Consider the following 13,237-nt stretch of genomic DNA (forward strand, 5'->3'; position numbering starts at 1 on the left):
CCTACTCAAGCAAGGAAACTCCTGCCTCCATGCACTGAGAGAAGGAGCTAGACCAGCTTGACCCAGGAAGTCAAATGAAGATCTACTCAGCCCTCAGCCAAAAATCCCAGCTAACAATCTACCTAGGCAGGAAGACTCCCACCTCCGAACGTTTAAGAAATGCAAAGGGGCCAGACTGGCTTGACCTGAGAGGTCAAACAACCACTCAACTCAGCTAAAAGCCTACCCCACAGTTCCACCCTGACAGGGAGGCAATCCTCAATTGTGCTTTTTTTTTTTTTTTGAGATGGAATTTCGCTCTTGTCACCCAGGCTGGAGTGAAATGACACGGTCTCACCTCACTGCAACCTCTGCCTCCCGGGTTCAAGCAATTCTCCTGCCCCAGCCTCCCGAGCAGCTGGGATTACAGGAGACTGCCATCACGCCCAGCTAATTTTTGTATTTTTAGTAGAGACAGGGTTTCTCCATGTTGGCCAGGCTGGTCTCGAACTCCTGACCTTGTGACCCACCCACGCCTTGGCCTCCCAAAGTGCTGGGATTACAGGCGTGAGCCACCGCGCCCAGCCTCAACTGTGCAATTCTAAGGAGCATAGCTTATGATTCCACTTGTCCCAAGCAATGACTCCACCTAACTTCCAACCCCAGCCCGCAGCCTTGCCTAACTGCAGATCCCAAATATCAGAATTGCTTGGCTAGGGAATATATCCTGTGACTAACCTGACCAAAAGCCATCACAGTACCCAGCCAGCAGCTCTACACAATATCAGAGCAAAGGCAGTAGCCCAGTCAACTAGAGAAATCACAACAAGCTCTGCCTGTCTGGGGTCATTCCAGCTTATCTGGGAGCTGGCCCTTCCAGAATCAGAGGCTAAATAGAGAAGGTCTATTCCTGCCAAAGAACACCTGCAAAAGCCAGAAGAGGGGGCGGTCTTCTTCTTCTTTTTTTTTTTTTTTTTGAGATGGAGTCTCTCTCTGTTGCCCAGGCTGGAGTGCAGTGGCACAATCTCGGCTCACTGCAAGCTCCACCTCCCAGGTTCACGCCATTCTCCTGCCTCAGCCTCCCGAGTAGATGGGACTACAGGTGCCCACCACCACGCCTGGCTAATTTTTTGTATTTTTAGTAGAGATGGGATTTCACCATGTTAGCCAGGACGGTCTCGATCTCCTGACCTCGTGATCTGCCTGCCTTGGCCTCCCAAAGTGCTGGGATTACAGGCGTAAGCCACCATGCCCGGCCAGGGGTGGTCTTAAATGCTCAGACAACAATGCAAGGACACAAAGATTGCAAAGAATCAGTGAATCACTTCCAAAAGACAATAATAAAGCTTCAATAATGGGCCCCAAAGAAATGGAGATCTAGGAAATGACAAAGAATTCAGAATAATAAAGAAGTTCAGTAAACTATAAGAATATATGGATAGAAAATTTAATGAGATTTGGAAAACAATACACAAGAAATTTGAGAAAGAAATAGAGACAATAAAAAAGAAAATTCTAGAGATGAAGAATACAATGACTGAATGGAAAAATTAAGTAGAAGGCTTCGATAGCAGACTCGATCAAGCAGAAGAATAGATCAGTGAGCTGGAAACAGAACATTTGAAATTATCCAGTCGGAGAAGCAAGAAGACAAAAGAATAAAAAAGAATGAAGAAAGCCTGTAGGAATTTTGGGACACCATCCAGAGACTAAACCTTTGCTCAACAGAAATTTTAGAAAGAGTCAAAGAGCCAGAAAGCATATTTAAAGAAATAACAGGCCAGACACGGTGGCTCACGCCTGTAATCCCAGCACTTTGGGAGGCTGAGGTAGGTAGATCACTTGAGGTAAGGAGTTTCAGACCAGCCTGACCAACATGGAGAAACCCTATCTCTACTGAAAATACAAAATTAGCCGGGCATGGTGGTGCATGCCTGTAATCCCAGCTACTCGGGAGGTTGGGGCAGGAGAATTGCTTGAACTCGGGAGGCGGAGGTTGTGGTGAGCTGAGACTGTGCCATTGCATTCCAGTCTGGGCAACAAGAATGAAAACTCCATCTCAAAAAATAATAATAATAATAAAAATAAATAAATAAATAATAAATGAAACTTCCTTAAACTGGGGATAGACACCAACAAGCAGTATAGGAAGTACAGAGTTTTCCAATCAAAGAGGAATACAACCCAAAGAGGAGTATATCAAGACACATAATAATCAAACTACCAAAAATCAAAGACAGAAAATTTTGAGAGCAGCAAGAGATAAGAAACATACCACATACAAAGGGGTGCTAATGTAACTACCAGCAAAGTTTTCAGAAATTTTCAGAAATCCTGCAGGCCAGTGGGATGACATTCAAAGTGGTGAAGGAAAAAACCTGCCAAAAAATAATACTTTATGCAGCAAAGCTGTCTTTCAGAAATGGGGGAGAAATAAAAACCTTCCCAGAAAAACAAAAGCTAAGGGAGTTTATCACCATTAGGCCTGCCTTGCAGGAATTGCTTAAGGGAATTCTTTAAACTGAAACCAAATACCTGTATCTAGTCAACATAATGGTATATAACTAGTAGGATGCTATGGTCTGAATGTCTGTGTTCCCCTAAAGTTTATATGTTGAAATCCTAATCCCAAGGTGATGGTATTAGAAGGTGCAGCCTCTAGGAGATGATTAGGTCATGCAGATATAAATAGGTAATATGACCTCATGAATGGAATGGTGCCCTTATAAAAGAGGCCCAGGAAAGCTCCCTTGCTCTTTCTGCCACTGGAGATTACAGGGAAAAGATGGTCTTCTATGAAGAAGTGGGCCTCCACCAGACACCAAATCTGCCTGTACACCAATCTTGGAATCCTAGCTCCCAGAACTGTGGAAATCAATTTCTGTTGTTCATAATCCACTCAATTTATTATATTTTGTTACAGTAGCCTGAGCATACTACGACATGCGATCAGATTTCTTTTTTTTTTTTTTTTTTTTTTTGAGATGGAAGTCTCCCTCTGTTGCCAAGGCTGGAGTACAGTGGCACGATATCCACTCACTGCAACCGCCACCACCCGGGTTCAAGCCATTCTCCTGCCTCAGCCTCCCGAGTAGCTGGGATTACAGGCATCCGCTTCCACGCCCAGCTAATTTTTGTATTTTTAGTACAGACGGGGTTTCACCATCTTGGCCAGGCTGGTCTTGAACTCCTGACCTCGTGATCCACCCACCTTGGCCTCCCAAAGTGCTGGGATTACAGGTATGAGCCACCGTGCCCGGCCAACATGGGACGAGATTTTAAACTTTACAGCACACAAATCTCTTATTTTAGACTTTTTATCCTCCTTATGATATTCTTTTCCAGGCAATTGTTTCTAAATTCTGAGATGTTTAAGTCAATATAAAGATGGTAAAGATTCTTGACAAACCAAATACTATAATAATTACTGACCGGGCACTGTGGCTCACGCCTGTAATCCCAGCATTTTGGGAGGCCGAGGCGGGCGGATCACGAGGTCAGGAGATTGACACCATCCTGGCTAATACAGTGAAACCCCATCTCTACTAAAAATACAAAAAATTAGCCAGGCATGGTGGCACGAGCCTGTAATCCCAGCTATTCAGGAGGCTGAGGCAGGGGAATCGCCTGAACCTGGGAGGCAGAGGTTGCAGTGAGCCGAGATTGTGCCACTGCACTCCAGCCTGGGTAACAGAGCGAGACTCCGTCTCAAAAAAAAAAAATTATTATTATTATTTTACATAAGAAGAAACAATGCAATGATTGATTTTTGAGTGAAAAGTTAACTTTATATTTCTAGGAAAAATCCCATTTAGTCATATTGTATTACTTATATATTGGTGGATTCAATTTTGTATTTGTGTCCATTTGCCATATTGGGGCTGTAGTTTTTGTTGTTTATTTGTTTGTTTGTTTGTTTGTTTTTGAGATGGAGTCTCGCTCTGTCACCCAGGCTGGAGTGCAGTGGCTCGACCTCACCTCACTGCAAGCTCCACCTCCCGGGTTCACGCCATTCTCCTGCCTCAGCTTCCCGAGTAGCTGGGCCTACAGGCGCCCACCACCACACCTAGCTAATTTTTTGTATTTTTAGTAGAGACGGGGTTTCACCGTGTTAGCCAGGATGGTCTCGATTTCCTCCCACCTCAACCTCTCGATGACCTAGGACCACCAGCACACACCACCATGCTTGGCTAATATTTTTATTTAGTAGAGGCGAGGTCTCACTATGTTGCCCAGGATGGTCTCCAACTCCTGGGCTCAAGCGATTCACACACCTTGGCCTCCCAAAGCACTGAGATTACAGGTATGAACCACATGCCTGGCAATGATTTTTTACAAAATACTTTATGTTTTCCTTTATTTTCTTACTTATTTTTTTTTTGGGCGGCTGGGGGAGGGTCTGTTTTCTGTTTTACTTGATTTCTACTATCTTCATTATTTGTTTTCTTCTACTTTGTGTTTAATATGTCCTTTCTTGTAGCTTCTGAAGATTAAAACTTAGTTCATTCTCTTGGGCCCTCTTTTTCTTATGATACAAACTTTTAAGCCATAAATTTCACTTTTAGAACTGCCTTAGCATTTTCCCACAAACATTTGATACATTGTGTAATTTTTCATTCTTCGAGAGATTTTCCTACTTTCCTTCTGAGTTCTTCTTTAATCAATGAGGACTATAGAAACATGTTTAATTTTCAAATATTCAGAGTTTCCAGATATTGATCTATAATTGATTTCAAATTTAGCTTTACAGTGGGTTAGAAAAATATACTCTGTGACTTCAATCATTTTAAATTTTTTGAGACTTGTTTTATAGCTAATTATATGGCCTTTTTTAGTGAACATTATATATGCACTTAAAAGGAACATCTAGGCTGGGCATGGTGGCTCACGCCTGTAATCCCAACACTTTGGGAGGCCAAGGTGAGAGAATCACTTGAGCCCAGGAGTTCAAGACCAGCCTGAGCAATATAGTGAGACCACATCTCTACAAAAAAAAAAAAAAAAAAATTAAAAATCAGCGGGGTATGGCCGGGCGCGGTGGCTCACACCTGTAATCCCAGCACTTTTGGAGGCCAAGGCAGGTGGATCACAAGGTCAAGAGATCGAGACCATCCTGGCCAACATGATGAAACCCCGTCTTTACTAAAAATACAAAAATCAGCTGGGCGTCATGCCGCATGCCTATAGTCTCAGCTACTTGGGAGGCTGAGGCAGGAGAATCGCTTGAACCCGGGAGGCGGAGGTTGCAGTGAGCTGAGATTGCACCACTGCACTCCAGCCTGGCGACAGAGTGAGACTCCACCTCAGAAAAACAAAAAAAGAAAGAAAAGAAAAATTAGCTGGGTATGACGGCACCCACCTGTAGTCCCTGCTACTCAGGAGGCTGATGTGGGAAGATCGCTTAAATGTGGAGGTCAAGGCTGCAGTGTGCTATGATCCACTTTACTCTAGCCTGGGTGACAGAGTGAGACTGTCTCAAAATAAATAAATAAAAATAATGAAAGAAAGGAGCTTGTATTCTGCAATTGTTGGGAGAAATGTTCTAACGTATCATTTTGTTTTAATGCCTCTTTTTGCTTCTGCTTGAAAGTCTTATCTTCCTCATCCGTCTCCTTGGCCTGCTTCTTGGGCTGTTTTAGGGGGTTCTTCTTGCTGCACATGGCACCTGTGCCCCTTCCTCAGACTCTGCCCTCTATTGGACTCCTTTTTCCTTTTTTTTTTTGAGACACAGTCTTGCTCTGTCACCCAAGCTGGAGTACAGTGGCACAAACACAGCTTACTGCGGCCTTGACCCTCCTGGGACCAACTGATTCTCCCACATCAGCCTTCCAAGTACCTGGGACTACAGATGTGTGCCACCCCACCCGGCTAATTTTTTGATTTTTTTTGTAGCGACAGGGTCTCACTTTGTTGCCCAGGCTGGTCCCAAACACCTGGGCTCAAGCAATCCTCCCACCTTGGCCTCCCAAAGTGCTGAGATGATGGGCGTGAGCCACCATGCCTGGCCTACGATTTGTATTTCATGCTTCCTTTTTGAAACAGTTTTATTGAGAAATAACTTACATACCATACAGTTCACCCATTAAAACGTACAATTCAGTAGCTGTTAGTATAATCAGAGTTTCATAAACATCATCCAATTTTACAATATTTTCATCACCCCAAAAAGAAACTTTACTCCTTAGTAGTTACCTCACATTTCCACCAAAACCTCTCAGCCCTAGGGAACTACTAGTCTACTTTCTTTCCCTATTGATTTGTATATTCTAGACACTTCATATAAATGGAATCATATAATATATGACCCTTTGTGACTGGCTCCTTTCCCATAGCTTTGTAAACTTTTCCAGGTTTATCCATGTTGAAGCATGTACCAGTGTCATAAATTTTTTAATATAGTTGCTGCTCTGGCATTCATTTTTAGGCCTGGCCTAAGTCTTTTGAAACCCAGTTGTATACCCAACCCCCTGCTGTCACCTTTGGCCTTGTTAAAACTTACCCTCCTGGCCAGGTGTGGTGGCTCACACCTGTAATTCCACACTTTGGGAGGCCAAGGTGGGAGGATCACTTGAGCTCAGGAGTTCAAGACCAGCCTGGCCAAATATGGTGAAACCTTGCCTCTACTAAAAATACAAAAATTAGATGGGAAGGATGGCGTGTGCCTGTAATCCCAGCTACTCGAGAGGCTGAGGCATGAGAATCGCTTGAATCTGGGAGGCAGAGGAGGCTGCAGTGAGCTGAGATCATGCCACTGCACTCCAGCCCGGGCAACACAGCAAGACTCTGTCTCAAGAAACAAAACAAAACAAACTTCCCCTCCCAGTGTCGTTGAGATATAGCCCACTTGTTCATCTTATAGACTCCCAAACGCAACACATCCCTCAGCTGACCATGAAAAAACCTAATGGTTGACTGAGGGCTGTAATCCCAACACTTTGGGAGGGTGCGGCAGGAGGACTGTTTGAGGCCAGGAGTTTGAGACCACCCTGGGTAACACAGTGAGACCCCTGTCTCTACAAAAAGAAAAAAAAATTAGCTGGGCGTAGTGGCCCACATCTCTAGTCCCAGCTACTCAAGAGGCTGAGGCATGAGGATCGACTGAGGCAGGGAGGTAGAGGATGCAGTGAGCTGAAATCACGCCACTGCACTCCAGCCTAGGCAACAGAGGGAGACCTTGTCTCAAAACAAAACAGAACAAAACAAAAACCTAATGGTTAACACCAGAGTCTTGGAAATAAGTTCCTCTCCTTTGTGCATGTGTTTTTTAAGGGCATAATGCCTATAGACCTAATAAAAGCATAATCTCACAGGTCTCCTTTCTTCTCTCTTTCTCCTCTACTCCTCCTGAGTAGCTGGAACTAGAGATGTGGGCCACCATGCCCAGCTAATTTTTTTTTCTTTTTGTAGAGACGAGGGTCTCACTATGCTACCCAAGGTGGTCTCAAACTCCTGGCCTCAAGCAATCCTCCTGCCGCACCCTCCCAAAGTGCCGGGATTATGGCCCTCAGCCAACCCACTAGGTTTACTGTGATTGCTTTCTCTAGGATCTTCGTTTTTCAAGTCCTAGCTGCCTTAATAGACCTGACTCCAAATTTTGTATCTCCAGGCCAGTAAGACTGCCGGTAAGCTCTAGGGTGCTTCTTTCTGACTTCTACACTCCTAGACACAAATCAACAATGCCCTGAGAAGGAAAAGCGGCTGAGAATGCAGGACTCACTTCAGAGTATTTCTCTTCTTCCTGGGGGGCTCGTGGACTCTCAAGCCTTGGATGACAGGGTTGCTCTCCAATTGTTTTAAACAGACTTATTTATTTTTTTAAACAGCTTTCATCGTTCTCAGTGGCAGAGTTAGTTTGTTCAACAAGGTACCTCATCATGGTTGGATGCCTGCATCATTAAAAAAATTCATTGTAGTGAAATATCCTTTAAACAAATAAAATTAGATTTGTTTTGAAGTTGATTGTGGCAAAAACAATTTAAAATTTACCTTTGTAACTACTTTTAAGTGTACAGTTCGGTGGTGTTATATTTACATTATTGTGTAACATCTCTAGAAATTTTTCATCTTGCAAAATTGAAACTCTGTACCCAGTAAACATTATATCACCATTTTCCCCTCCCTCTACCCTCTAGCAACCACTATTCTACCGTCTTGTTTCCACAAGTTTGACATAATCCCACAGTTTACATACCTCTACATAGTTCATATAGGTCAAATCATAACAGTATTTGTCCTTTTGTGACTGGTTTATTGCACTTGGCACAACATCCTCAAGGTTCATCTATGTTGTAGCCTGTGATAAGATTTCCTTCCTTTTTAAGGCTGAATAATATTCCATTATATGTATATATCACATTTTCATTCATCTCTTCATCTGTTGATGAACATTTGGGCTGCTTCAACCTCTTGGCTATTGTGAATAGTGCTGCAATGAACATGAATGTGCAAATATCTCTTCGATATCCTGCTTTCAATTCTTTTGGATATTTACCCAGAAGTGGGATTGCTGGATCATATGGTAGCTCTAGTTTTAGTTTTTTGAGGAACTTCCCCACTGTTTTGCATAGTGGTGGTACCATCTACATTCCTATCAGCATTGCATAAGAGTTCCAATTTCTCCACAAGATCCCATCTTTAGAATATGCAGCAATTAACTAGGGGGTTTTCATTTTTGGTCTTTTTTGTTTGTACAAACATTATTGTGTCAACATTTACACAGATTTTAAATTTCAGCCTAGACCTGGAAGAGTGTTGATAGAGGAAGGTGTTAAGAACATCAACCGGAATCAGCTCTAGAGATGGAGAGGGGTTGGCAGAAGCTACCTAAAAGAGAACATGCTTGATGTGGTAATGAAGTTACCTGCTTGGATTCTGGACGACCCTGGATATTTTCTCCTTTGCTAAGAAGTTAGCTTCTTTCTCTCCCTCAAAAATATTCTTCTCTTCCCTTACCTACTCCAAGGGTACAAGTGACTGGGGTATGCCTGTCACAGATGAGGTGAGGCCAAGATGTGGGCACTACGTAAGGCCTGACAGATATGGTGTAAATGTTATTTATTACCATGATTACTGTTTTGGAGATGGTCAGTGCTGTAAATAGAAAGGGAGTTAAGAGCAGACTCTGAAGCCAGACTGTCCGGAATGAATCCAGGCTCCTCTAGCTACTATCTATGTGATGTTGAAAAAATTTCTTAATTTCTCTGTGCCTCAGTTTCCTTATCATAAAATGGCAATGTTAATAGCACCCACTATGTAGAGTTCTTAGGATTAAATAAATTAATATTCGCTAAGTACTCAGTGCAAACTGTGGGCACACAGCAAGTACTACGAAAGTGTTAGGTAAAATAAAGGTGGACCAAGCCTGGTAGCACCTAGCAAGTCCAGCTTCATCTTTGCTGTGCTGAGTCGTGTAGGTGGTGTTCTTGTGTCTCTGGTTTGCTGGAGGACCTAGTTTTAGTGTATTTTAGGTATCATTAAGCATCCCCGCTCCCTCGATGGGATAGGGGTGTGTGTGTTACAGGTGGTTGTTGGGCACCTTCACGGGGCAGCGGTGACTATGGGCTGTACGTAGTATCTCGGTAGAAAGTGTTAATGCACATCCCTGGGCGGAGAGGTAACTCTACTCAATGCGTTATAAGGGAAATCACACACCTCACGGATGGTGTAGGTTCTGTCTGCTCCTTGCGTTTCAGTGGAGGTGCACAGAGCTCCGGGGGGCATCGGGGACCGCGGGCCCAGGACGTGTAGTAGGGAGCAGTGCTGTACACTTCCTCGGACCATAGCGGGGACGGCGGGTTCCACACCTGTCGGGGCAGTAGGGACTGAGCTCGTGCGCGCGGAGGATGGATTGCTCCAACCTCTCGGTCCAGCGCGCCGGCCGCCGCGTGCGAACGTGTGTGCGGCAGGAGGCTCGATCTACACCTCCTCGGGGCAGCAACGACTGCGAGCTCGGTGCGTGCCGTAGGAGGTGTCGTTACACACTTCCTGTGGGTCTCGCCGACCACGGCGCGTTTCCGGTGCCGGCTGGAGCCCGGGGTCCGAGCCCCCGCCCCGCTCGCCGGCCCCGCCCCGGCCCGCCCGCGCCCCGCCCCCTGCCCGCCCGCCGCGCTCCGAGCCGGGCGCGCGGAGCTCGGGGCGCACGGAGCGGCGCGCGGCGGTCGGCCGAGCCAGGCTGGCGCCCCCGCCCCCCGCCCCGCTCCTCGGTCCGCCGCCCGCCGGGCGCCTTCCCCGCTCCACTTACCTTTGGTGCCCGGCCCTCTGGCCGCTCTCCTCCCGCCCTCGCGCCCCTTCGGCCCGTCCCGTCCAGCCCGGGCTGCCCGGCTCTCGCAGGCCCCCCCGCGCCGACCGCGTTCCTATGGACAGACGCACAGACACCTGCAGGTGGGTGAGAGCCCGCGCGCGGGGCGGGGACGAGTGCGCCGACGCCGCGACCCAGGCGGGGAGCCCCTTTGTGTGGGGGGCGGCCGCGCCGGGGTCGACTCTGCTTCCCCGTCAGCGGCCGCGCGGTGACCCGGCTGAACCTTCCTTTTGTCTCCTCTCGGGGGAGCGAGGCCGGAGCGAGGGCAGGGACCCGGGCGGCCGCTCGTCGGCAGCGCCGGGCTTGGGGGTGCGAGGCGCAGAGACCCCCGGTGGCGGCTCCGGTCCGCCTGCCCCGGGCCGCCCCGCCGCCCGGCAGCTCGGGTCTCAGCGGCGGCTGCAGGCGCAGTGCGTGGGGCTGGCGCCCCCGCTCCTGCTCTTGGGTCTGTCGGAGGTGGGAAGGAGGGCGGGAAGGAGGAGGAAAAGGTCTGTCCTCTTAGTTTCCAAGTCTTGAGATGCTTATGGAGAAAGAGAGGTGGTTCAGGGCTCTGCCCCACTAGTTTTCCTCCTCGGGTGGCTCGCCGAGGTGCGTTTGGGGCGTGTGTGAAGGAACGTGCATGGCTTCGCTCCCTTATTTATTGTTTCTAACGGAGGAGGGCTTTCTCCAAAAGGCTCTTCCGCCCCCCCACCCCCATCTGAGGCTGCGCACAGTGATTTGTGTTTGTTATCAAATATATCGAGAAATGTATTCCCCTGGGTAGGAGGAGGTTGGACTGAACAACGTCAAACCAAAATCAAAGAATGTTTTTGGTTCCTTCAAGTCTTTTTTTTTCTTTAAGGTTTTAGATTGGGACTTTAAAAAAAATGAACGTGGCTGTGATTTTTACAATTATATGTATTTAGTGTGTGTGCGTGTGTGTGTGTGTGTGTGTGTGTGTGTTTTGAAGTTTAGGAGTAAAGTTTTGTTTTTTCCCGAACTCGTTAGGATTCGCAAGACGGAATCCTCTCCCGACGAAATAAACAGCTAACAAGCCAGTCAGGTAGTGACAGCTTCCATGGTGGAGGTTAAATTGGAGTGCAATAAACAATGATCTAGCTTTCCCTTCAGGCTGAAGCCTTTATTTCTGCTGATTTAAGATATGAGATCTTTCCCTACCCATGAGACCATGAATGTCAGAATTGAGTTTCCCCTCTAGGATTGTGCCTTTACTATTTTATTCCACGTATATAACCCAACGATTGGGTTGTGCATGGATATGGATACAGTGTTTTGAAAAATACTGTAGGGTGATGTTTCTGAATTGTCTTATTTGATTAGCTAGCTAAGTTTCTTCATGAACGGTTGCTGTGTATTGTAGATACTCAAATAATAAATGAGGTTGAATAAGCACCCAGAAAATTAATTTTACAGATTCAGATTTTTAATACGCAGGTATGGATTTATGCCTGTATCAATCTCAATCTACTGCTCCGTTCTGGAAACTCTTTTTTGCCCACCCTGTGAGAATTTATATTGACAAAGTTAAGTCTGACAGTTACCCAGGAGATTAAAAAAACGAAGAAGCAGTTTTGGGGGCCATGCATACAATTATATGGACAGTCATATGTAAAAAATAGAGGTTTTCCTAAAAAAACAAAAAGCATTATCATCTAAACTTGAAGGAAAAACGTGGAAAATTATGTATTTAAATTTTCATTAAGGTTTGAAAATTAGTAAACAGTGTACAATTTAATGCACTTTTTTAAAGACAAACTGATTTTTGTCATTATAAAAAGTTTAGTATGCTTAAAATAGTGCTTTTTTCTAGGAGAAAAATTTATCTAGATTCTTGTCCCAGTTAAACAGATTAATATTATTGCATGCCTAATTTTGTAAATGCCTGGAGCGTAGATTTGTACACACATTACTTAAAACCTAGCAGTGATCAAGCCAATCCTTTTTAGTTGATAAAATTTTACTAGTTTCTGCTTTGACTTCCAGTCTGCATTAGGTAAATGAATTTAAATTCTGCACAGAAGCACAGCTCAGTATGTGGCTCTGGTAGGCCCTTGACTAGCGTTCCTTGTCCCTCTCCATTCCTAGTAATAGCCCAAAGAGAAGAGGTATTGAAATTTGATCAGGCTTTATCGTGAATCCAGGAATGGAGTTCTAGACCACTCTCAGAATTTCAGCACTTAGATATACGTACTCTTCCTTAGCTCTTTAAAATATTTAAAAAAGATAAGCTAACGATTGAATTGCTTGTTTATATATTTACAAGGCTGTCAGTGGTAGTGATAAGATTTAACAAAGAGTCACTGTGTAGCTAAGCATCGAGTGTGGCCTGTACTGAGAATTGTTTTGGCAAAGTTGTAGTTGTGCCTGTTTTCTGAGATCATCAATGTAGTCTTTATGTGGGCTGGCTGAAAGATAACACCTAGTTTTGTTTATGTTTTTGTGTTTTTTTTTTTTTGACTGATAGGTAGATAAGAATTTTTTGTTTTTTGTGTAATTAGCAATAATATTTTAGTGTGATCAGAAGCATTCCAGAGAACCTTACATATTTTCAGCTGATTTCCTTTCTGGTAAGTTGGTGTTGAGGAAAGCATATAAATTATTTTTCATTTTTCATGTTTGAAATTTTTTTCATTTATTTTGACAAATAAGTGCTGCTTCCAGAAAATTTGAATTTGTGTAAAACTGGATTTTTAAATATAGCTGACATTTACCACCTTCTCTTTTTAAAACAACATTAAGCCGTCCACAGTTAAATTTGATAGGCTTTAAAATCCATGGACTTTTCTAGCATTTTCCTGTTTATTGGTTATCAATGTAGTATCATTACAAGAAGCCTAAAATGGCCACTTTATGTTAACTGGAATGCTCAAATGACTAGTGTTTTCATTAGCAATAAATGGAAAGCTGAAAAGTAACAATTTTATTCTTTGTAATAGATCTGTGACTTTCAAGTCTTTCTTTTTG

General features: G+C 44.7%; 1 protein-coding gene and 1 long non-coding RNA gene across 6 annotated transcripts in view, besides 3 other annotated features; one reads left to right on the forward strand and one right to left on the reverse strand.

Moving 5' to 3' along the window:
* HSDL2-AS1 (HSDL2 antisense RNA 1) overlaps positions 1 to 10,885 on the reverse strand; it is a 35,847-nt gene extending 24,962 nt beyond the window's left edge. For 2 of the 3 annotated variants that reach the window (NR_171777.1, NR_171778.1), the window contains exons 1-2: positions 9,631 to 9,932; positions 7,697 to 7,865 (exon numbers count right to left, since the gene is read on the reverse strand). This is a non-coding gene — a long non-coding RNA (HSDL2 antisense RNA 1). Of the gene's footprint in view, positions 1 to 7,696; positions 7,866 to 9,630; positions 9,933 to 10,219 lie in introns of those variants that run through there. The other variant, NR_171779.1, reaches the window with a different exon arrangement.
* Positions 9,547 to 9,606: an enhancer, noted in NCBI's record as "active region_28825". NCBI's record gives its function as "activates an Ori minimal core promoter by ATAC-STARR-seq in GM12878 lymphoblastoid cells {active_cell/tissue: GM12878}" and the evidence as "EXISTENCE:reporter gene assay evidence [ECO:0000049][PMID:35858748]".
* Positions 10,037 to 10,096: a silencer, noted in NCBI's record as "silent region_20192". NCBI's record gives its function as "represses an Ori minimal core promoter by ATAC-STARR-seq in GM12878 lymphoblastoid cells {active_cell/tissue: GM12878}" and the evidence as "EXISTENCE:reporter gene assay evidence [ECO:0000049][PMID:35858748]".
* Positions 10,068 to 13,237, forward strand: part of KIAA1958 — a 182,571-nt gene continuing 179,401 nt past the window's right edge. For all 3 annotated transcript variants that reach the window (NM_001287036.2, NM_133465.4, NM_001287038.2), the window contains exon 1: positions 10,068 to 10,359. The gene's annotated coding sequence lies outside the window, so the exon portion shown is untranslated. The remainder of the gene's footprint in view (positions 10,360 to 13,237) is intronic.
* Positions 10,177 to 10,666: a silencer, noted in NCBI's record as "silent region_20193". NCBI's record gives its function as "represses an Ori minimal core promoter by ATAC-STARR-seq in GM12878 lymphoblastoid cells {active_cell/tissue: GM12878}" and the evidence as "EXISTENCE:reporter gene assay evidence [ECO:0000049][PMID:35858748]".

The sequence above is a fragment of the Homo sapiens genome, chromosome 9 (genome assembly GCF_000001405.40).
Source record: "Homo sapiens chromosome 9, GRCh38.p14 Primary Assembly".
Lineage (NCBI taxonomy): Eukaryota > Metazoa > Chordata > Mammalia > Primates > Hominidae > Homo > Homo sapiens.